This window comes from Homo sapiens, chromosome 8 (genome assembly GCF_000001405.40).
Source record: "Homo sapiens chromosome 8, GRCh38.p14 Primary Assembly".
Lineage (NCBI taxonomy): Eukaryota > Metazoa > Chordata > Mammalia > Primates > Hominidae > Homo > Homo sapiens.
Genome location: NC_000008.11, coordinates 51447577 through 51472720, shown reverse-complemented (window position 1 = coordinate 51472720; position 25144 = coordinate 51447577). Strand labels below are relative to the sequence as shown.

The following is a 25144-nucleotide window of genomic DNA, read 5'->3' as shown; positions in this document are numbered from 1 at the left end:
TGTTGTAAATTGTGTAAAGTGGGTGGTTGGGTGCTTAGATAGCTAATTGTCTAGGAAGAGTGCCTGCAAAACTGCAAGCTCAGTTTAAGTACTTGGTTTGAAAAATTGACCCATAAAATCAAACTCCTTCCATAAATATGGTTGTATTGAGCTCCTAGAAATAAAAGCACAGGAAAATTTACTTAATTTACTTCATTGGAGATCCCTTTGTGCAGTGAATTTTTCAAACTTCTAAAGTATAAGTCAAATATATGTCTAATCTCTAACCTGGTACATGTATTACCGGGTAAATGCAGTTCGATGTGTAAAACTTTAATGTAGAAATAAATTTAAATTGCCTATATCTCTTTCTCAGCATCTTGGAAGGCCATAATTTTGTATCTCTGAAAAATACATCAATAATTCTTTTGTTGCAGAGAGCCCCCGAATTACTTTTGAGCCGCAGGATGTGGAGGTACCATCAGGAAATACCGTCTACTTCACCTGCCGGGCGGAAGGAAACCCCAAACCTGAGATTATTTGGATACACAACAAGTAAATACTGAGCATGGACATGGGTTGTGATTCTCCTTCTGATTCCAGCAATCTTTTTAACTCAATTTAACTCCTTTATCTAGAGAAGAAATTACTAAAATTTTCAGAGTTTCTTAAAGATAAAATGCCTTTTAACTTTTATCTGTTGACTTACTCAAGCTATGTTAAGGCCTTTTTCTTAAAACTTACACATTTCCGGCCGGGCGCGGTGGCTCATGCCTGTAATCCCAGCACTTTGGGAGGCCGAGGTGGGCGGATCACACACAAGGTCAGGAGATCGAGACCATCCTGGCTAACACGGTGAAACCCCGTCTCTACTAAAAATACAAAAAATTAGCTGGGCGTGGTGGTGAGCGCCTGTAGTCCCAGCTACTCGGGAGGCTGAGGCAGGAGAATGGCGTGAACCCGGGAGGCGGAGCTTGCAGTGAGCTGAGATCGTGCCACTGCACTCCAGCCTGGGCAACAGAGCAAGACTCCATCTCAAAAAAAAAAAACCAAAAAAAAAAATTATGCATTTCCAGACCTCAGTGATTCTGAAACTGACTAAAATAATTCTGTGTTATTTCTAGAAGGAAATGTTGGGATTAATAACAAACTAGTTTGTTTTAAAGCTGAATATAATTTGATGTAGCCACATCTAAGTTGTTTCAGATTTAAACTGATAGTTCGTATTTGACATTGCAACTTTCCTATGGTAAATCAGTATAGGATTATTTAAGCAAACTGGCAAAAATGACATGCAAAATTATTTAAATGGCTAGTCATTTATTTTATGCCCATGGTACTGTTTGATAAAACATAAAACCAATGAGTCCAAAAACCTGTGAGCATAAAATTAAATAGTAATAACAAATGTTAAAAAAGTTAAATGTGATCACCATTCTAACTGGCGTGAGATGGTATCTCGTTGTAGTTTTGATTTGCTTTTCTCTAATGACCAGTGATGAAGAGCTTTTTTTCATGTTTGTTGGCTGCATAAATGTCTTCTTTTGAGAAGTGTCTGTTCATATCCTTTGCTCACTTTTTGATGCTTTTTTTTTTTTTTTTGTAAATTTGTTTAAGTTCCTTGTAGATTCTGGATATTAGCCCTTTGTCAGACGGATAGATTGCAAAAATCTTCTCCCATTCTGTAGGTTGCCTGTTCACTCTGATGACAGTTTTTTTTTTTGCTGTGCAGAAGCTCTTTAGTTTAACTAGATCCCATTTGTCAATTTTGGCTTTTGTTGCCATTGCTTTTCATGTTTTCGTCATGAAGCCTTTGCCCGTGCCTATGTCCTGAATGGTATTACCTAGCTTTTCTTCTAGGGTTTTTATGGTTTTAGGTCTTACATTGAAGTCTTCAATCCATCTCGAGTTAATTTTTGTATAAGGTGTAAGGAAGGGGTCCAGTTTCAGTTTTCTGAATATGGCTAGCCAGTTTTCCCAATACCATTTATTAAATAGAGAATCCTTTTCCCATTTCTTGTTTTTGTCAGGTTTGTCAAAGATCAGATATTTGTAGATGTATGGCACTATTTCCGAGGCCTCTGTTCTGTTCCATTGGTTTGTATATCTGTTTTAAAACTGAACTGGTAGTTAACATAAAATAGAAACATTAAGTGCACTATATACCTAATACAATTCAACGATAGCACTTGGACAATTATATTATCATTAGTTATGGTAATGATAATTACCATGGTTTTCATGTGTCCCTTCCATTCTTGCACAGACTTTCACTGACTTTCTTTTGTCACGTGTATAATCAACTCTGATTTTTTTTGCTTGTTTGTATAAAACATTCTAAAATATATTATACAACTTTTTTGCTTTTTGTGTGTAATTTGGATTTATAATTGTAGCCAGAAACTCAGCCATGTGTTTTAAATTCTTGTAAAAAGTCTAGTAAGTGTAGGTTAAAAATAGCTTGTATAGAAGGCAATTATGAATACTATTAAATCTGGAAACTAGCCCACGAGAAAGACTTCAATTGATAGAAGTGTTCAATTTATTTCCTTCTTTAGATTGCTCAAGTGCACTTGATAAACAGAAATCGCTGCTTGTAATGTCTTAAAACTGCTTTTTCTGCTTTCTTACAATTTAAATTTTAAAATGGTGTGTTCAAGGTTACAAAGATACTCACTAGTATTTAGAAAGAAACAAGTGAAAAAATCACATTGCCTGTTTTAACTTATGACATAAAAGTTTCAAATATAGTGACTAAAGAAGCTAAGATGTATTTGAAAGGAAAACAAAGAAATCTAAAAAGAAAGAATAGAATAAAGAAAAGTATGGGTAAAAATGTCTGTCAAAATGTTAATCATTTTATACCAAAAAATTAAAGATGAAAGAGAAGAGTTTATGACAAGAAATGTTTAACATGAGTAACTATTAACTTACTGATTATTTACTGTTGAGTATTTTTTATAGAAAGATAATATATATCCTGAAAGTGCATGGAGCATAAAGTGTGGTATAGCAAATTATTTTAAACAAACATCTGTTCAACATGAACCAGGCTAAGAAAAAATACCCCAACTCAGAAGCTACCCATGTTTCCTTTCATTATCATTATCCTTTTCTACTCCCCTGGAGAGGACCTGGATTTAGGGTCCTTAGAGGAGTGGATTAAAAACTGATTAGACACAACCAGAGGTAGAAATGGAGGATTAGAAAGTAGGTATGTGGGAATAACCAGATTTAAGTGTGGTTAAGAGACATCGAGACTACAATGCAAAGGTCTGGTGTCTATCCAGTAGGAGTTCCAGAAAGACAGGTAGGAAAGAATGAGCTAAACGCAACATTTGAAAAGGTAATGATAGAATTATCCAGAAATAAAAAAATCAGAAAATTTCAGAATGAGAATTATATTGCTTCCAAAATAGGATTTAAAAAATAAATCTATACTCTTCACTGTGATCACAACATTGAAAGTCAGAGACAAAATCTTTCATTCCCAAGTAATCTGCAGATTACCTTCAAATGTACAGCAGTTATATTTGCGGTAAACTTTACATCAGACAGACGACAATGAAATATATTTAGAGTGTTAAGGAAAAATAACTGATTTCCTTCAGTTTTACATCCAGGTAAATTATCTGACAAGGTGAAATAAAAACATTTTCAGGCAAAGAATAGAGCTTTATTCAGGAGTATTTGCTGAAAGAGCTTCAAGTGGTTGTGTTTCAGTAAGTAGGAGTTTGATCCAATAAGAAAGATGTGATTTGCAAAAAGCAAAGTTGAACAAAGAAAGTTTTAAACATGTTGATAAATATGAATACACTTAGATTATTAAGGACTGAACAACTTTAAAGTAAGAAAAAAGTAGAACGTTAGACAATATTAATAGAAGAGTTATAAGGAGAGAGAACATAGTTAAATTATTTTACATGCCTCATTTTTGAGGTGAAGAGTGATACTGTGAATTCTGTTAAGTCAAGAGTGCATATTAACAATTAAGATGGAATATTAACAAATAGAAAGATCCTTCCAGACTAGGAGGAGAAAAAAAGTGGATAAAGAAAACTGGATCAATCCACAAAAGGGAAGCAGGGATGGATTAAAAAGGCAGAGAAAAGGCTTGGGAAAGAGAAAATATAAAATAACTCATCAGAAATAAATTTAAATACATTCGTGAAAACAGTAGTCTATTGGAAGACATAATATTGAATTTTAAAATCCAGCTATATGCTATTTATAAGAGGTGTATCTGAAACATTATGACACTGAGAGGTGGAAAGTCGATAGGTAAACAAATATATCAACCAAGTTATACTGATCAAGATAAGGATGATGTAAGACTATTATAGTGTAATCACAAATCATTAGATCATACTTAATGATAAAAGATGTAATTCACCTGAATTTAAAATTCATGAACCTTTATATACCTAACAAAATAGCTGATGAAGAATAAAACAAGATTGAGAGAATTATAAGGATGTATTTACGGAAATCCAATTATAGCAAGAAATTTTAATACTGCTTTCCCAGAACGATTAGGAACAAAAATTAGCAGCAATATCTAAACATAGCTTAAAACACTGATGATATCTACTACATACAAAGCTAAACCTTACTATCTTTTCAAGCAGTTATGGAACACTTATCAAGATTGATCACATGCAAAGATACAAAATCTCAACTCATAGCCAAGAATCAATTTCATAAAAATCCCTTTCTTTTATTACAATTTAAACAAGTTTTAGAAAACAGCCATTTGTCAAGATAATTTTAGAGATTCTTTACGTCTCTCAGTAGAAAAATGAAATGATTACCAGCACTTAATAAGTAGTTTTAGAATAATTGAATAGATTCAAAGATGAGAGAAACCTGCCAGGCTGAAGGAAGAATAATTAAAAGCTCAGAACGAAGGTTAGTTTCAGGAAAGTGTGTAGAGCAAATTTGTGAGAATTAAGGTTTTACCTTGGGGAGAAATAGAAAAAGATTGCATAATAATGGCAAAACTAATGACTTGGGCTTTCAGTTTATAAACTTTGAGACCCATTAGAAGATGTTGAGCAAGACAATGACTTGATGAAAGAGATTTAAAAGCCAACCAGACTTTTCTGTTTCTTTTTCAACTTTTATTGCACATTCTGGAGGTACAAGTGCAGGTTTGTTACAAAGGTATACTACATGATGCTGAGGTTTGGAATATGACAGAACCACTACCCAAGAAGTGAGCATAGTAACAAATAGGTAGTTTTTCAACACTTATGTCCCTCCCTACCTCTCCATCATGTATTCCCCAGTGTCTAATATTCCCATCTTTATGTCCATATGTACCCAATATTTAGTGCCCACTTACAAGTGGGAATATTTGTAGGTCTGTAGACTTACAATATTTAGCTCTCACTTACAATGAGAATATTTGTAAGTTTGTAAAGACAAACAGAATTTGTTTGTTGTCGTTGTTGTTCCTGCATTAGTTCACTTAGCATAATGGCCTTCAACTGCATTCAAGTTGTTGCAAAGGACATGATTCCATTCTTTTTTATGGCTGCACAGTATTCCAAGGTGTGTATGTAGTACATTTTCTTTATCCAGTCCACCATTGATAGGAACCTGTGTTGATTCTATGTTTTTGCTATTGCTAACGGTGCTGTAATTAACATACAGACACATGGGTCTTTTTGGTAGAAGGATTTATTTTTCTTTGGGTATCCAGTAATGGGGTTGCTGTGTTGGATGGTAGCTCAACTTTTACTTCTTTGAGAAATCTTCAAACTGCTCTCTGCAGTGGCTAAACTAATCTACATTTCCAACAGTGTGGAAGCATTAGCTTTTCTCTGCAGCCCCAACAAGACCTGTTATTTTTTGACTTTTTAATGAAAGCCATTCTGGCAGGTGCTAGATGGCATATTACTGTGGTTTTGATTTGCATTTATCTGATGATTTGTGATAATGAACATTTTTTCATAAGTTTGTTGGCTGCCTGTGTGCCTTCCTGTGGGAAGTGTCTGTTCTTGTAGTTCGCCTGCTTATTAATAAGGTTATTTGTGTTTTGTTTGTTGATTTGTTTAAGTTCCTTGTAGATTCAGGATATTAGGCTTTTGTCAGATGTGTAGTTTGTGGATACTTTCTCCCAGACTGTAAGTTGTCTATTTATTCTGTTGATAGTTTATCTTGCTGTGCAGAAGCTCTTTAGTTTAATTAGGTCCCACTTGTCAATTTTTGTTTTCATTGCAATTGCTTTGAGGACTTAGCCATAAATTCTTTGCCAAGACTGATGGTGAGAAGGGTATTTCTTAGGTTTTCTAAAATTTTTACAGTTTGAGGTCTTATATTTAAGTCTTTAATCCATCCTGAGTTGATTTTTGTATATGGTGATATATAGGGGTCTCGTTTCATCTTTCTGCATATGGATAGCCAGTTCTCCCAGCACCATTTATTGAATAGGGAATCCTTTTCCATTGCTTAGTTTTGTTGACTTTGTTGAAGATCAGATGGATGTAGAGGTGCAGTTTTATTTCTGGGTTCTCTATTCTGTTCTGTTTGTCTATGTTTCTGTTTTTGTACTAGCACCATGTTTTGTTTAGTGTAGCCTTGTAGAATAGTTTGATGTTGGATAATGTGATGCTTCCAGCTTTGTTCTTTTTGCTTAGAATTGCTTTGGCTACTCAGGCTCTTTTTCTGTTTCATATGAATTTTAGAATAGGTTTTTTTTTTCTAAATCTGTGAAAAATGACATTGGTGTTTTGATAGGAATAGCATTGAATTTGTAAATTGCCTTGGGCAGTATGGCCATTTGAACAATATTGATTCTTCCAATTTATGAGCATGAAATGCTTTCTTATTTATTGGTGTCATCTGTGGTTTCTTTCAACAATGTTTTGAGTTCTCCTTGCAGCAATATTTCACTTACTTGGTTAGATGTAGTTCTAGATATTTTTTCTTTTTGTGGCTATTGTAAGTGAGATTACATATTTGATGTGGCTCTCAGCTTGAACATTATTGGTGTACAGAAATGCTACTATTTTTTACACATTGATTTTGTATCCTGAAAATTTACTGAAATCCTTTATCAGTTCTAGGAGGCTTTGGTGGAGTGTAGGGTTTTCATGGTATAGAATCATATTATCAGCAAATAGAGATAGTTTGACTTTTCTTCTATTTGGATGTCATTTATTTCCTTCTCTTACCTGATTGCTCTGGCTAGGACTTCCAGTACTATGTTGAATAGGAATGGTGAAAGTGGACATTCTTGTCTTGTTTTGGTTCTCAAGGGGAATGCTTCCAGCTTTTGCCCATTCAGTATGATATTGGCTGTGGGTTTGTAATTGATGGCTTTTATTATTTTGAGGTATGTTGCTTTGACGCCTAGTTTGTTGAGGTTTTTTTTTTATCATGAAGGAATGTTGGATTTTATAGAAAGCTTTCTCCACATCTATTGAGATGATCATATAATTTTTTAAAATTCTGTTTATGTGGTGAATGACATGTATTGATTTGCATATGTTGAAACAACTTTGTATCTCAGGAATAAAGCCTACTTGGTCATGGTAAATCAACTTTCTGATGTACTGCTGGATTCAGTTTGCTAGCATTTTGTTGAGGATTTTGGGATTTATGTTTATCAGGGATACTGGCCCATGGTTTCCTTTTTTGTTGTGTCTCTGCCAGATTTTAGTATCAGGATGATATTCACTTCATAGAATGAGCGAGGGAGGATCCTTCTTCCTTGACTTTTTAGAATAGGTAAAGTAGAATTCGCACAAGCTCTTCTTTGTATGTCAGGTAAAATTTGGCTGTGACTCCATGTAGTCCAAGCCTTTTTTGATTGGTAGGATTTTTATTACAGATTCAATTTCAGAACTCATTATCATTATTATTGTTATTATTATACTTTAAGTTCTGGGATACATGTGCAGAACGTGCAGGTTTGTTACATAAGTATACATGTGCCTTGGTGGTTTCTGCACCCATCAACCTGTCATCTACATTAGGTATTTCTCCTAATGCTATCCCTCCCCTAGCTCCCCACCCCGCGACAGGCCCTGGTGTGTGATGTTACCCTCCCTGTGCCCATGTATCAGAACTCATTATTTATCTATTCAGGGTTTCAGCTTCTTCCTGGTTTAATTTGGGAGGTTGTGTGTTTATGGGAATTGTCCATTTCCTCTTAATAGACTCTCTGGTCTTTTGTATTTCTGTGGGAATTGTTGTAGTATCATCTTTGTCATTTCTGATTGTGCTTATTTGAAACATCTCTCTTTTTTTCTTTGTTAATCTAGCCAATGTTCTAGCAATCCTCTTTATCCTTTCCAATGACCAACTTTTGGTTTCATTGATCTTTTGTATGGATCTTGTGTCTCAGTTTCATGTAGTTCTGCTCTGATTTAGAGATGGGGTCTCACTCTGTCACCCAGGCTAAATTGTAATGGTGCAACCATGGCTTACTGCAGCCTTGACCTCCCGGGCTCAAACAATCATTCCACCTCAGGCTCCTGAGTAGCTGAGACTACAGGCACATGCCAGCACACCCAGCTAATATTTTCATTTTTTGTAGATACAGGGTCTTGCTGCATTGCCTAGGCTGGTCTCAAACTCCTGGGCTTAAAAAGTCCTCCTGCCTCAGCCTCCCAAAGTGCTGGTATTACAGGCATGAGCCACTGTGCCCAGTCAGTTATATTTTTTCTTCTGCTTCACTTTTGGGTTAGTTTATTTTAGGTTTTTTTTTTTTTTAGTTCCTTTAGATTGTTAATTTGAGATCTTTCTTAACTTCATGTAGGCTTTTAGCTTTATAAACTCTCCTCTTAACATTGCTTTTGCTGCATTCTAGAGATTTTGGTATGTTGTGTTTCTATTTTAATGAATTTCAAAGAATTTTTTGATTTGTTTTAATTTTGTTGTTTACCCAAAAGTCATTCAGGATTAAGTTGTTCAATTTCCGTATTTTGAGAGATATTCTTGGTATTCATTTTTTATTTTTATTACACTGTGTCTGAGAGTATGGTTGGTATGATTTTGATGTTTTTGCATTTATTGAGACTTGCTTTATGGCTAAGTACATGGTCATCTTCCATGTACAGATGAGAAGAAAGTATATTCTGTTATTATTGGATAAAGTGTTCTGTAGCTATCTATCAAGTCTGGTTGGTCAAGTGTCAAATTTAATTCAGAATTTCTTTGCCTTCTTGTTGAATTGAACTAATTATCATTATGTAGTGCCCTTATTTGTCCTTTTTTTATAATTGGTGGTTTAAAGTCATTTTATCTTATGTAAGAATAGCAACCTCCTACCCTTTTTTGTTTTCCAATTACATGAGAAATCTTTCTCCATCCTTTTACTTTGAGCCTTTGAGTGTCATTACATGTGAGATGAGTCTGTTGAAGACAGCAAAAGATTGGGTCTTTTTAAAAATCCAACTTGCCACTCTGTGCCTTTTTAATGGACCATTTAGACTATTTACATTCAAGGTTAATATTGATATGTGATGTTTTGATCTTCTTGTTTAGCTTGTTGTTTGGTAGGCTTGACTGTGTAGTTGCTTTATAGGGTCTATCTATGGGGTATGTACTTAAATATGTCTTGGTGATAGTAGGCATCATTCTTTTGTTTCCATGTTTAGAACTCCCTTAAGGTCCTCTTATAAGGCTGTTCTAGTGTTAACTAATTCTCTTAACATTTGCTTGTCTGGGAAGAATTTTATTTATCCTTCACTTATAAAGTTTAGTTTGGCTGGATATGAAATTCTTGGTTGGAATTTCTTTTCTTTAAGTATTTTGAGAAAAGGTCCAAAATCTCTTCTGGCTTGCAAGGTTTCTGCTGAGAAGTCTGCTGTTAGCCCTATGGGGCTCCCTTTGTAAGAAATCTAACCCTTTTAGGTTTTTTTTTCATGTTGACCTCACAGAATCTGATGACTGTGTGTCTTGGGGGCATCTTGTGTAATATCTTGCAGGGATTCTCTGAATTTCTTGAATTTGCATGCTGATGTCTCTAGCAATATTGGGGAAATTTTTGTGGACTATATTCTCAGATATGTTTTCCCAGTTGTTTACTCTTCTTCATTTTCTCTCAGGAATGCCAATGAATTGTAGGTTTGGTCTCCTTATGTAATCCCATATTTCTCAGAGATTTTATTCCTTCTTTTTAATTCTTTTTTCTCTCTTTTTGTCTGACTGGGTTGATTCAAAGAACCAGTTTTTGAGCTCTGAGATTCTTGCCTCAGCTTGGTCTGTTCTGTTGTTAATGCTTCTAACTGTATTATGAAATTCCTGTAGTGATTTTTTCAATTCCAGAAGTTCAATTTGGTTCTTTCTTAAAATGTCTACATTATCTTTCAACTATTGAGTCATTCTATTGGCTTCCTTGGATTAGGTTTCAACTTTCTCCTTATCTCATTGAGCTTCCTTGCCATCCAGATTCTGAATTTTATGTCTGTCATTTCAGCCATTTCAATCTGGTTAGGATCCATTGCTGGGGAGTCAGTACAGTCATTTGGAAGTAATAAGATGCTCTGACTTTTTTAATTGCCTGAGTTTTTGCACTGATTCTTACTCATTTGAGAGGGCTGGTGTTCCTTTATCTCTTTGAAGTTGCTGTCAGTTGTATGGGGCTTTTTGTTTTTATGTTATTTCCCTTGAGGTTTTGACTGTGGTGTATGTTGAATATCATTGAATGACTTTGCTTCTGTGTGCTTTCTAAATATCAAGGCCCTGTGTGGGAACTTAATTTGTGGCTAGATTTTTGCATCGTGTTTCATGGGTGATATGTGCTGAAAGAATTTTTGTTTGGTGGTGTATTTCAGGCTGCAATTGAGTAGATGGTGCTTAAGAGTAAGGGCTGACAGACTCTTCCTCAGCTATGCACTTCTTTTGTATTTCAGCTTGTTCTTATTTGCTACAGTGCTCTAGGGGTGGGGGAGACAGGAAGTGAGAGATATACTTCCTTGCCAAGTCTATTCCTGGGCCTTGGAAGACCCTCCTCCAATCACTGTTGACACACCTACATTTTCTTAGGCCCAAAGGGGCCCTGACAGGCTGTTCTACCCTCACTCTTAGGGGAAACCCGAGCCAAAGGATAGCTTATCACGAGACTTGCAGCTCCCTAGGGGCCCACTGGTCCTCTGTGCTTTGTGATATGTCTATGGGTGGTGTGTTTGTGTAGGAGGTCAATGGCAGAGGACCCCAGGCATGGTGGAGTTGTTTTGGCTATGCAGTTGGTGTAGTGCCCACGGCTTGGGTTTTTTGCCCAGCAGATGGCTGCAGGGACTGCCCAGCCTGTGCTCCTTTGACTAGGTCTCCTGGTGGCTGCCCTCTAGCTTACTCCATCTGCTGGTTTTATCCCAAGCCTTCTGCACCCAGATCGCTGGGCTGTCAGGTGTTTCAGGCCATGGAGCTCCCTCAGGCAGAGGCTGTGGCTAGCAGAAAGGTCACACCCTTCCCATACTAGCCCTGTGGCGGGGAAGCACACCCAGCTCCTGTGCCAGAACACAAATCTGCATTTCACTCTTCTCAGTGTTCTGAGATTGGCAGTTCCTCCTCTGCTCAATCTCTAGTCACAGATCTCAGCTTGATATCCTTCAGCTGTGTGCCTAGACCCTGGGAGGGTGGGATTGGGCCTGTGGTTTTGTCCTTTAGCCCTTTGGGGTCTAGCACTGGCTGTGCTGGGGAGGCTGTAGTGCTCTCAGGCTGCTGGCAAAGCACTCACCCTGGGTAGTGGAGGCTGTGTAGTGTGCATGCTTTTATGGGAGCAGCTGGGTGGGTGCCTTGGGAGGGTCCAGAGACAAGGGAGCATGCAGATCAGATTGGTCCCAGTCCTGTAGGAAAGGCAGCCCTGCTCTATCCCAGCCCAGCAGTCAGCAGGGGCTGGAGTGACTCAGAGCAAGATGGAGAGCCTTGGGGCATGGGCACCTATGGTCACATTTTGCTGGAGTTGCCCCGTGTGTAAAACCTGGGCTCCATGCAGGCTCATGCTCTGCCTCTGCCTTCTCTCCGGCAGATCCTCCACCAATTAAAATGTCTATGGGGGTCGTGGGATCTCTTGCAGCTAGGATCCCAGAGGTCCATTGTGGGGGTGTGGTGCCCTGCAGTTTCCTTCACTCACCTCTTCTTTAGGACCTGATCAGGACTAGGAACGGGTCTTGGCACTTGGCGACTCTGTGCAGGCTTCCCAGCTTCCATCCTATTCAGCCTCAGTGGCTGTGTTTCCCCTCTAGCAACTCTCAGTGTTTTCCCTCAAAAGATCTGTTTAAAGTGTGATGGCTTTTTCAGTATTTTGGCTTCTCTTGGTGGGAGAAGGGCTTCCTGGCTGCATCTAGTTGGCTGTCTTCCACACTTTTCATAATGTTGAGGTTTAGCTATGGAAATTTAGGCCATTCTAAATAAATTCATATTCTAGTAAACATGGTAAATATGATTGACAGTTCCAGTAGATTATAAGCAAACTTTACAACTATACTATAATTTGTGGTTGATGGTGGTTTTGTATATGGAAGATTTTTTTTTTTTTTGAGACAGACAGTCTCACTCTGTTGCCCAGGCTGGAGTTCAGTGGCACAATTATAGTTCACTGCAGGCTTGAACTTCTGAGCTCAAGCAATCCTCCTACCTCAGCCTCCAAGTAGCTGGGACTACAGGCTTATGCCACCATATCTGGCTAATTTTTAGATTTTTTTTGTAGAGACAGGGTCTCACTGTGTTGCCCAGGCTTGTCTCAAGCTCCTGGCCTCAAGCAATCCTCCCACCTCAGCCTCCCATAGTGCTGGCATCACAGGTGTGAGTCACTGTGCGTGACCATAGAAGATAGTTTTAATTTGTGTGGTGATAACTTGTTTGTCAATATTTCTGGTATCTAGCTACAGCACCTAGTTCTTAGAAAGCACTTAACAAATGACTGTTGTAATGAAACACCTTAATAGAAGTTATTTGTATGTCTTCATTAAATCAAATATGTTTATTTGTACATTTTCAAGGAAAAATAGAATATATTCAGATATATTCTACCTCTGCAAACCTTTGTGTTTTTACATATGATTGCTATTTGCATCAAACTGACAATGTGAATGGAATATATTGAAACATGAAGACTTTGATTTTTTGGGAAGGAACATCATGATTCATGAGCAAACAAGTTTTATGAGCATAACGAAGAGGTTATGGACAAAGAGGGAAATTACTAGGAAAAGGAATGATGCATTTTGAATTTATGGGTGTGATGTGCTACTGCCTGTTTTATATCATTTTTAACATAATGAATCCTGGTGAATTCTATTGCATTGTGTAGCCAGATGATAGATAGCACATACACATCTGGTAGCCTTTGAAATTTTGGGCTGCAAAGTTTTGGAACAAAATTCCAGGAACTTAAATCACCTTCTGAAAAATGTGATTTCATCATTTGTCATATTCCTTTGCAAGTAGTCTTATTTGGGTTCAGTGTTAGATAATTTTAGAATTGCATTTAAAATAATTAAATTGCTTAATACTAAATGAGCCCCTTGAATGGGGAACTTTAAGAAAAAATATTATTTCTTGAACTCCTGACCTCAGGCGATCTGCCTGCCTTGGCCTCCCAAAGTGCTGGGATTACAGGCATGAGGCACTGCACCTGGCCTTGAAAAAACATTCTTTCTGATGTTCGTTTCATGCTACTTACACTGAGAAACTTCACGGGTGATATGGATAGGAGCATCCAGTTTCTCCTTTTCTTGCCTTTGTCTTGCATTGCTGGCTTTTCAAAAGCATGCCTGTTTTTTCTGAAACTAATCTGTTCAAAAATGACAACTCGAATTTCTTTTTTGGCTAATTGGTACTTCTTCACATTGGGTTTTTATACCCAATAGCTGAAGAAGATCAGATTGTCTTCATCTTTCCTGCCTTCACTCTGTGATTCCGCTCTAAAACATAAAAGTCAAATATGGCCATTGTCTGTTTCTTTCTTATCTTTCACAACAAAAAATGGTTAGATAAGAATGACAATTTATTCATCTCTTTAACAAACTTTACTGTTTTTACCTATGTGGGAATAGGCTGTTATTCTTTAGTGTGGGTACATTTTGAAATTAGTGGGAAAATGTTTACCTGGCTTTATAAAACAAATACATGAGTTAAAGGGAGAACTATGGAATTCTCCTAATGCACTTTTTCTTTTCTGGGAATGATGTTTTTATGGGTGACAAAACATCGGTGTTTAGAAAATATGTATTGAGTGATGAAGATGGAGGAGAGTAGATTTCCTTTATCTATGCCTAAAACGTTCATTAGTACTAAGTGTACACATGTGAAAATCTATATACCTTCTCATACATAATCATTAAATATTTTTAAAGGAAAAAAATCTTTGCCAGAAAAAAAATCTGTAAACATTTCTAACATATGTTTCTGTGTCAGTAGCTTTGCATTTATTGTTAAAAATAACTCATGCAGGCCCTCCCTTTCTTATGATTATTGATGTGATATGGTGTTGCACATCTGAACCTACTTGCACTCAATGGATTATGCACTTAATTGATAAATGGGACTTTCCTAGTATATCCAAATGGTGCACCTCAGAGAAGGGGGCCTAATATTCAACAACTTGGTAGGTTAGGTTTGTTATTTATTGCTTAGTCATATAATTATACTTGGCTTTGAGCCCGTGCTGGTTTGAATAGGAATATTTTTTTTACACTTTAACAAAATATGAAAGAATACTGAATGACTCATGGAAGGAGGTAAAAGGATTACATATTACCATCTGGTGATTTCTTTTCTGAAAAGTGGGCATTCAAATATATAAAAATGTGCTGAAGTGTCTGTCATATGGGAGCGCTTGCTTCAGTGTCTAAATTCATGCCACTCAGGAAGGCAGAACATCTCAACCTCATTTCCCTCTATCAAATGTTGACTCAGAGCCTTTGTTCAGGGTGTATTCTTGAAATAGGAACAAGATAACTAGGATTTAAAGTGAAATAATTAAAATTATTCAGATAAAATAAATTTAACAAATTTGGTAGACATGAAACATAGCTATATAGTACTATATTCTCAGTCTTGTTAAGAGTTTTAAACATGAATGGGATTAAATAATATACATGTATAACCTATATTTCCAGCCACTCATTGGATTTGGAAGATGATACTCGACTTAATGTGTTTGATGATGGCACACTCATGATCCGAAACACCAGAGAGTCAGACCAAGGTGTCTATCAGTGCATGGCCAGAAATTCCGCTGGGGAAGCCAAGACACAGAGTGCCATGCTCAGATACTCCAGTCTTCCAGGTAAAACTATTATTTTCTAGTTCTATCAATTATCTGCACTGGAAAATGATCTAATATTGCTGCTTTAGAGTATGTAATACTTCAAAGTGAAACTATTCCCATTGACTGTGATTTTTTAAATTTTGTTTTAGAGAAACTTGAATTTTTTTCTCTTGAAGTTTATTTTAATTTCCTGCCTTAGTTCCTTTCTGGTACAGCACATTGTGGTTCCAAGACTTTTCTATTCTCCTTTTGATTCCCCATCCAGCTATCCAGCATCCTTATGCAGAGTGAACCAGTGTTACTTAGGCAGGAATATTACTCTTTTCAAAAATTCATTCAATCATTCATTCATCATGAATTAATCCAACACATATTTATTGAATGCCCACTGAGCTAGCTGTTGAAGATTGCATGGTTATCAACCACGTTCCTTATTCAACTTTCCAGGGGCTTTGCTTTGTCATAATTTCAGTGGCTTATATAAACCAGACATAATGACTGCAACAAATTTTCATTAATAGCATGTTGACATGGTGGAAATACATTGTCTCTCACCTTACTGAGCCCATCATCTATTAGATGATAGCCATAATTCAAGAAATAAGTTTTATGATGTGTAAGGAGAGGGAGAGAAGCATAAAGGACAGTTGTGTGCTGGTAAATGTTTGTAAATTGGCTCTGAGGAGCAGGGAGCCCTGATTTGCAGCATTTGTCAGTATCTGTTCTATAAATAATCTCACCATGGCCAATTCCTAGTTACCGAAATGATATCACTGAATGTGGAGTTGGGAAGAGATGCACAGAAGTTCATCATAATATAGCACTTCTAGCGTGCAGACACAGTAGGCATAATAACCCTGAGACCGAAGATAATAATAAAATGTAGTAAAAAATAGGGATGAATTTGTTAGTTTTGATGCTAATAAAATTTATTTGATTGTAAGTTTATTTAGTTAAAATTTTAAGAATGGCTTTGTGTAGCAGTCAGCTTGCAGAATACTGAAAATTTGACAACTGGCTCTCCAGAGCCGGCTCCAGCCCATCCCAGTGGAGGGGAGCACTTGAAGCAGCAGCCTCGGAGGATTGCATTCATTCAGGTCTTCCCAAGAGCATTGACCTTTAAGTTGAAAGCAACAACAAGTGGGAGAGAGCCAGAGAAGTAGGGTTGAAGCATCATTTCAGGAGAAAAGACAGCATAGGGAAGACAGAGCAAGGCACATTCAAGAGATGGAGATCCTGGAGCATACAGAGGAGAGGCTGGGAATGACACGAGATTTGGTGAGGTATAAAGTGGGGTCAGATCACTCAGGGTATTCATGACGCTACACTGAGATGATTAAAATTAGATTTTTCTTTTAGAAAAATGTCTCTGGTGGCAGTTCAGAGAACAAACAGGAGGGCATGGTAAGATAGGCATGTCAGGATGAGGAAGTCAGCAGCGGCAATTGCCACAGGGCAGAAGAGAGTTGGTGGTGGCATGGATAGGGTAGTGGCAAAGTGAATGGAGGAAATTGCAGTGAATCAAGAGGTTTTCCAGGAAAAAAAGACACTTGAGTTAGCGATTGATTGAATATGATAATTCCTCACATAGTTTCCAAGTAATTTATTTAAAAAAATGTTTGTAGAGACAAGGTCTCACTCTGTCACCCAGGCTGGAGTGCAGTGGCATGATCATAGCTCACTGCAGACTGAAACTCCTGTCCTTAAGTGATCCTCCTGCCTAGGCCTCCCAAAGTGCTGGGATTACACCAAGTAATTTCTGATTGAAACACCACTGTCTCCTTCCAAAGCCTCCTTCCCTTCTGCCTCTAGGTCAAGTCTGACCCTGCACACAGGAGCATTTCTACTTTGAGAACACGACTTCCTCTTGATCCTTTCCTAATGTCCTCAATTCTCTTTTTAAATCTCTTTTGCCTGCCTAAAATGTGGTGTTCCTTATAGCGCTGTCCTCCCCTCCCTTTCTCTAGTCCCCCGTGCCCTAATCACATTTTTTTCCTCTTCCATCTGAGCTCTTCCCAAACCTTCAGCTTTCATACTTCATGTAAAATTTATAGTCTTTATTGCTGAGATCCTTCCTGAGATTTCAATGGACATTGCCAGGACTTTGTTTTTATCTTCACATGTAAATCTTTACATCTGTCAAACACATTTGCCCACACAAACCCACAGCATCCTGTGTTTGCTATCTCTATTGGTATCATTACTCTCCTCCAGTAACCTCTGATTCACCCTCTAGTGCTACTCCTTCTTCCACAATTCTCTAAAAATTTAGTTCCATGCATGCATCAGATTATCTCCTTTTCCAGTTCTACTGCCACTGACTTACCTCGGAACATTTATTTCAATTATTATAATAACTTTCCCTATACTTTCCCTTACCTCTTTTTTTTTTTTTTTTTTGAGACGGAGTCTCGCTCTGTCGCCCAGGCCGGACTGCGGACTGCAGTGGCGCAATCTCGGCTCACTGCAAGCTCCGCTTCCCGGGTTCACGCCATTCTCCTGCCTCAGCCTCCCGAGTAGCTGGGACTACAGGCGCCCGCCACCGCGCCCGGCTAATTTTTCCCTTACCTCTTGCCAGAATGTTCTCCTATCACATTTACACCTAACTCTGAGACAATTCTTTCCGAGGCATGTTGTGGTTTTACAGATGATGTGTTCTGTCCTCTGTTCATGCAGCTAGAGTAGGAGCACACAAGGAGGAGTGTGTTTGTTCATCTCTGTATCTTTCCAACATCCAGTATGTTACTAATATACTTAAGACATTCGATATTGTTAGGAATTAAATTAAACATTTATTGTTGAATTGGATTAATTTAATTTATTTCCACTTTCCAGAATATGTTCATCTCAGGAATGGTTGATCCCCCTTCCCCAAACTTAGAATCAATCATTAGGCATTTTTAACACCTTAGCAAATATTTAATTTTTGCTTGAGATTCCCAGAAAAGAGAAACTCCTATGAATTTGTAAGAGTGGAACTCCTTATATGAAAGTCTAAATTTTCTATTTACATGTATACTTGATGAATCAATTTATAATACGTTTAGCTGAAAGTAACTGAAAGCTTGGCTAGATATGGCTTAAATGCATAGCTTCTATGTGTGTGTGTTTGTGTCTGTGCATATTTTAATTGTATGCCACAAGTAGGACAAGGGTAATCTGTCACAGAGCTGCCACATTACCTATAGTGAGCCAATAATATTCTTCTTTCTGCTTTTTGATCTGCTTTGCACATAGGTTTCTTTATTCCTCATAATTTTCACCTCTTAATCACAAAGTGGCTCCTGTAACCCAAAGGCATTCCTGCCCGAATTCCAGGTAGCAAACAGGAGGAAGAAATGACTACTTAAACTTAGCACTTTTATTTATTCCCAGTGACATGTGCCTAAACTGTGTTTAAAAAAATGTGAGTATTCTTAAGAAGGAATGTTTAAACATTTAACCCCTAAAATAAGGAATATGTATTGTGTAGGTGCTTTGCAGTATCTATAACACATCGTGATATCAAGGCAAGCAATCTTTTTAAAAAAGTATGTACTTACAGCAAATCCACATTTCATTATTTTAGATTTAATTTTCTGGGAATTAAATGTGTATATATATATATGTGTAATATTTTAGTTTAAAGGAATTTTGAAAATGACAATAATCTTAAAACCACAATGCAGAATAAATAAATCTTCCTAACTGCTACTTGCTGGATTTCGTTTTGTTCCCCCTTTACCATCAGCCAAACCAAGCTTTGTAATCCAGCCTCAGGACACAGAGGTTTTAATTGGCACCAGCACAACTTTGGAATGTATGGCCACAGGCCACCCACACCCTCTTATCACTTGGACCAGGGACAATGGATTGGAGCTGGATGGATCCAGGCACGTGGCAACGTCCAGTGGACTTTACTTACAGAACATCACACAACGGGATCATGGTCGATTTACCTGTCATGCCAACAATAGCCACGGCACTGTTCAAGCTGCAGCAAACATAATTGTACAAGGTATGGGAGCAGAAGGTCATGATTGAAATGTTCCTCCTGCCACACTCAGAAAATTATTTTTCAACTTAAATAATGTCATGTACATCAGTGGAGAAATATTTTTATTTGCCAATTATTTTTTGACACAATAAGATTTTCAAAGCTAATCTGTTTCAAGTTAAAAGTTGTTTTTTTTCTTTCCTACTTCAATCTTTATCCAAAGGTCAGACTCAACCATTAGCAACAAAAGAGATGGAGTCATTAATCTGGAAGGAAACTGTCAAGAGATATTTGTGCTTCAGAATATTTCACAGATACAGGAAAGACAGTACAGATATGAAAGTGAAAAGGCTGTGCCCTGTGTTCATAGTCACTTACCAAACTGTCTACTCAACAGAGCTTGAGGACATGCTGAAGGCTCCTACGAGGCCAGACTGCGTAACAACAGCAATAGTAAAACTATTCTGAATCCAGAAATTAATTTATATGCATGGGCATGCAATCGTGTTATAAAGAAGGCACATTCTTCTTTGTACTTTGGTTCTCAGCCTGGGGTGGCCCCTTTCTGGTGTGTGTGCGTGCATGTGTGTGTGTGTGTGTGTGTTTGTGTGTGTGCGTTTGTGTGTGTGTGCATGTGTGCCTGCATGCCATCTTCCTGTAGGGTTAGAGTTTAGTAAACAGCAGAATATAAGTGCTATTGGAGTCATATCAAAGGTCCAGTTTTTTCTAAACTAGTTTTTCATCAGTTGATGAGAGTACGGTAATTTACATGATCCGTTTTAGGGGCTTCCTGATATGTGCATATTTTGATTGAGTTAAGTTTCATTATTTTAAGATTTGCATAGGATGTTATCTACCAAAACACTGAACCGTGTGAAACACAGAACAGAGAAAAAGGGAAGTGGCCAGCCTAGTGCAGTGCCTGGGTTGGGAGGGCTTCAGAACAGTGAGCCCCAGTGGCCCCAAGAGTGATCTTGGCCCCCACAAAGCACAAGGCTTCCTCCAGCCTAGTCTTCCTGCATTCAGAGAATGTTTTCTAAATTGAACTGTTTAGCATCAACTCCTTTAATAGCAATAGATCAATACTTTCTTATTCCTATTTACATGTCTCAGGAAAAAAAATTGTGTTTTTCCCTAGAACTGCTAATATCCCAAAAATACTTTCCTTGCTCTAATAAGAAGGCACAGAAATGAAATATTTTCTTGAGGTCTTTGGTAACTTCTGGGGGAAATTACTTTTAAAGGACCCAAACGTTATTTTTAAACTTTTAATATGTTGAGATTGAAAAATACCTTCAAAGAAACTGTGTTTGGGTTTTGTTTTGCTTACATCATTTTGTGTTCAATGTCTGTTTTTTAGAAACCTAACGCCTGATCACTTTCACACTTTAGTGGTTGCCTGTATTCCACACTGTGCTAGGCTTTTGTTTCTCAGCTTTTTCCATGTACTTCCTTTCTATGCTTCCATCTGCCCATCTGCGTCAGTCATTGCTTAACAGAACTCTGGTAACCTTTACCATCCTGCCTATTTCTTCTACCACAATATGCTAATGATTTCTTGTTGCCAGTGAGTTTGCACTGAAATGGCCATCTGCTTGTCCTTTGTTATTTGTGACCATCTACTTGTGTCACTTTTGGATCTGTGTGCCCAGATTTTTAATTGATTTTGAAACGGTCCATTAATCATTCTATACATTTATTTAAAAGGCTGATTTTATTTGCCTAATCATAGATGAAACATTTTAAGATGTATCCTTTTGTGTCATTTTAACAGGTTTCTATCCATGTTCTTGATCTTTTAATGTCTATTTAAACTGAGATCACAGTTATCCACAGATAAACTTCCTTTTTTAGACTGACTAAAATAAAATAACACAAATAAAATGACACAAAAAAGCTTCAATGAAAGATATGAATCACAGTGTGGACATATAGGTAAAAAGGCCTATGGTCATCAACAGTGTAAGTCAAAATGCTTTGTGTGTGAGGCAGCACCTTAATGAGTAGCCAGAATTTTAGATTTTAATAAAATAGCAAAACACTTCATCTCGGCATGTGCTATTTTAGCACTGGAGGTGGGACTCAGAAGGCCATCATTTTAAATGGAAAGCCCAAAGATGTCAGCTTCATCATTCCTGTCTAATTATTCCACCTTCTCTGCCTGCTTTGGTGATGTTCATAATTTCTTCATCGACCTAGCAAGCTGCTCATTTTAGTGTTAGAAACAAATGTAAATTGACTATTTTCTTAAATGTTTTCTATGCTTTGCTAAGATGTGGATCTTGGGTTCTGTTAAAAGTGAGAACACGTGAAGTTTAACAATTCTTTTCACACAGACTTGGCTAACCGTGAACTTTAATTATTATTAAAGTTATTAAATGTTAATATTTTTAATAATTAAAATAAAATTAAATTTTAATATGTTAATAATTATTAAAGTTATTATTATTCAAAAGTTGAAATCAAATTTCCCAACACTAGAACCAGGACTACATTATTTCTCTTAACTACTACCATCTTTTGTTATATAGCTCTTTTACTGTGTCATGAATCTATTTTTTAATGTAGAAATATTTTTGTTCTTTTTAAGTTGTTCCTAGTAATTTTGGGAGTTAGTGTAATGTTCTGGAAAGAACATCAGGCTGGGGGTTGAGCGGCCCAGATTCTCTACTATCTTTTCTACTTATTAGTTCTGACCGAGAGAAATTCAATCCTACCTCCCAGAGTCTGAATTTTCTCATCTGTGCAGTGAGGAGCCTGAGATTGCTGATTTGTGGGCTGTTTTCCAGCTTGACTTTTCTAGAACTCTATTACAAATAGCTTGCAGGCATTCCTGAGGGTTTCCATGAATTTGTGTGACTTGGAAATTTATTTTATACCATATTTAGTCCAGCACCTTACTTAGAATGGATGAAGACTTTAAAAAACTCTTTAGTACTTGCACACAGTATGAAACTTGCAACAAATACACTTTGCCAAATATTATTTACTTTATCATGTTTCTTGTATTTCCAGATGCAGGTGAAAAGAAGGGGGTAGTAGGAATTGTGCAAAAATCTAACAAGGCAGAGAAATGATTTGTCAAGTTGTTAAAGGCATTTGAACCAGAGTGACTCCATCTTGAATGAGGGCTGGGTAAAATGAGGATGAGACCTGCTGGGCTGGATTCCTAGCAGGTTTAGTATTTTTAGTCACAGGATGAGATAGGAGGTTGGCACAATATACAGGGCACAAAGACCCTGCTGATAAAACATGATGCAGTAAAGGAGCTGGCAAAAACCTGCCAAAAGCAAGATGGCGATGACAGTGACCCCTGGTTGTTCTCACTGCTCATTTTATGCTAATTATAATGCATTAGCATGTTACAAAACACTCCTACCAGCACCAGGACAGTTTACAAATGCCATGGCAATGTCAGGAAGTTGCCTTTTATGGTCTAAAATGGGGAGGAACTCTAAGTGCTGGGAATTGCCCACCGCTTTCCAGAAAACTCGTAAATAATCCACCCCATGTTTAGCACATAATCGAGAAATAACTGTAAGTATACTCAGCCCAGCAGCCTATACTGCTTCTCTGCCTGTGGAGTAGCCATTCTTGATTCCTTTACTTTCCTAATAAACCTGCTTTCACTTTACTGTATGGATTTGCCTCATATTCTTTTTTGCACAAAGTCCAAGAATCCTTTTTTGGGATCTGGATTGGGACACCTTTCCAGTTACAAAGTCATCTGCGAAAGTTCTTTTGATCACTTAGGCGTTACTGGGGATCATTGCGCTCTTCTTAAATGGCCACATTGATTTATTTTTTTATTCAATCAAAGAGTCACGGACAGAATCCCTTTTCAGGAATGGCATATGCAGCTATTAGCTATTTCTTATTTATACAAAAGCAATAATACAAAATCTGAATATTTGGAACTCTGAATTTTGACATAAATATGACTTTTTCAAAAGTATAATTTCAAGTGTTGCAGGAACATTAATCTTAAGGAGCTTATTTTTCTTTCTGAAATCGAAAGATCAACTCGTTTCAAATTTTATTGTGCATGTGAAAGTTTGGAGAAGACGGTTTTGTTAATAGTTTAAAGTACAATTTGTAGCTTTAAATATGTTTATCACATCTACTAAAATGATAACCAATATGATTCAATCATGGGAAACAGCTGCCGTAAGATTTAGAAATGGTTTCTTCTTGTTGGCTACTGCTGTTTTGCTTTGCAGACCAGATGTGTGTATTTCTGGCTTCCTTGCAAACAGGCACAAACATACAGAAGCACCTCCACACTCTTTATAACCTTGTTTATATATAATTGTAAACAAATTCTGATCACATGACATATTTGAAGACATTTTCTTTTTTCTATTGGCACTGAAAATTTGTAAAATAATTTTCAATTTTGATGTATGTTTCATTCTCTTTAGCTCCTCCACAATTTACAGTAACCCCCAAGGATCAAGTGGTGCTGGAAGAACATGCTGTAGAGTGGCTCTGTGAAGCTGACGGCAACCCACCTCCTGTTATTGTCTGGACAAAAACAGGTATTAGAACATCTGCAGGTAATTGTGGGGAAAAATAAGTGCCTTCTTTTGTGGATAGTAAAAAAAAATAGTTTAAATTAATTATCGAAGGTGTATCATGGACATGAAAAAATTACACAGAAAATAATCTTTGATCTAAATATGACATCATCATAATTTTCGTGGTGTTTTGAGTTTTGGCATTTGAGTGTGTGGCCTTCCTGAGATCATCCCCTCTGGGACTCGGTTTCCTGATTTTTAAAATAAAATTACTGGAAAGCGTACAGTTGTTTTGTTTGTTTGTTTGTTTGTTTGTTTGTTTTGAGACAGAGTCTTGTTCTGTCGCCCAGGCTGGAGTGCAGTGGTGCAATCTCGGCTCACTGCAAGCTCCGCCTCCCGGGTTCACGCCATTCTTCTGCCTCAGCCTGTAGCTGGGACTACAGGTGCCCGCCACCACGCCCGGCTACTTTTTCTGTATTTTTAATAGAGACGGGGTTTCACCGTGTTAGCCAGGATGGTCTCAATCTGCTGATCTCGTGATCCGCCCGCCTCGGCCTCCCAAAGTTCTGGGATTGCAGGAGTGAGCCACCGCGCCCGGCCGCAAGTGTAGCAGTTTTAGACATTTCTTTTTTCAGTGGGATAATTTTCTTCTAGTACAAAATGAAATCACAAGTGAAATGAAATCCGAAGTGAAGCTCCAAAAAAGAGCTGCTGTTCCTGAAGTGTGGGTGGTGGGGCGTGGGCCTGGCAGGCAGGATCTAACCCCCTATGCCCCACCAAGGCGCCAGACACTTACAGGGAATCTGGGCACATAACAGAACAGGATTGACGATTGGCTGGATGAGAGCTTGTCTAAGGTTCCTCCGGGCTTGGGAATCCTACTTTCCATATTAGTTCAGGTACGAAATAAAATTCAAAATCTACATTTATGAATTTCTTGTCTTAACATTTTTGCTCTATTCTTTATGAGATTAGTTGATAGGAGGTAGACTTTGGAACCATAAAGCCTTGGCTCACATCTCCACTCCTCCATTTGCTTATCATGTGACCTTGAGCAAACCTGTTAACTGCTGTTTGCCAGAGTCTTTGTTGCTGTGTTGGGGGTGATGACGTTTCCTACATCATAGGGTGGTTGTGGGGTTTGATTTGAATAATTTATACTCTTCAACATTTAGAATAGTTGATGGCACAGTGTGTGTACGCTCAATAGGGTTAGCTATTCCTTTTTCCATCTGTAACAAGACATTCAATAAGATACAAGTTTTCACTGAACTAGTTGAAAATTATAATCTCATTTAATTGTTAATGACCATAAGAGTAAAGTGTTAAGAAGGATTCAGAGGCTCATATAAGCTCAGCAGTGCAAAGTACAATGGCCTCTGGTTGACTGTGTAGATAACAGCATGAATGTCACAAAATCACCATTTTCGATATGCTGCCTCTGCA

The 25144-nt window shown here is 37.5% G+C and overlaps 1 protein-coding gene across 9 annotated transcripts in view; it reads left to right on the top strand.

Annotated features, from left to right (window-relative positions):
• The window catches only part of PXDNL (peroxidasin like), a 489869-nt gene that overhangs the window by 336725 nt on the left and 128000 nt on the right, over positions 1–25144 (top strand). For 8 of the 9 annotated variants that reach the window (XR_007060701.1, XM_047421364.1, XM_047421365.1 and 5 more), the window contains 4 exons: positions 417–534; positions 15054–15223; positions 18936–19202; positions 23603–23719. Coding sequence is in view for 8 of the 9 variants with exons in the window: in XM_047421364.1 (XP_047277320.1) it covers positions 417–534; positions 15054–15223; positions 18936–19202; positions 23603–23719 (672 nt within the window). In the remaining variant the exon portion in view is untranslated. The remainder of the gene's footprint in view (positions 1–416; positions 535–15053; positions 15224–18935; positions 19203–23602; positions 23720–25144) is intronic. The other variant, XM_047421366.1, reaches the window with a different exon arrangement.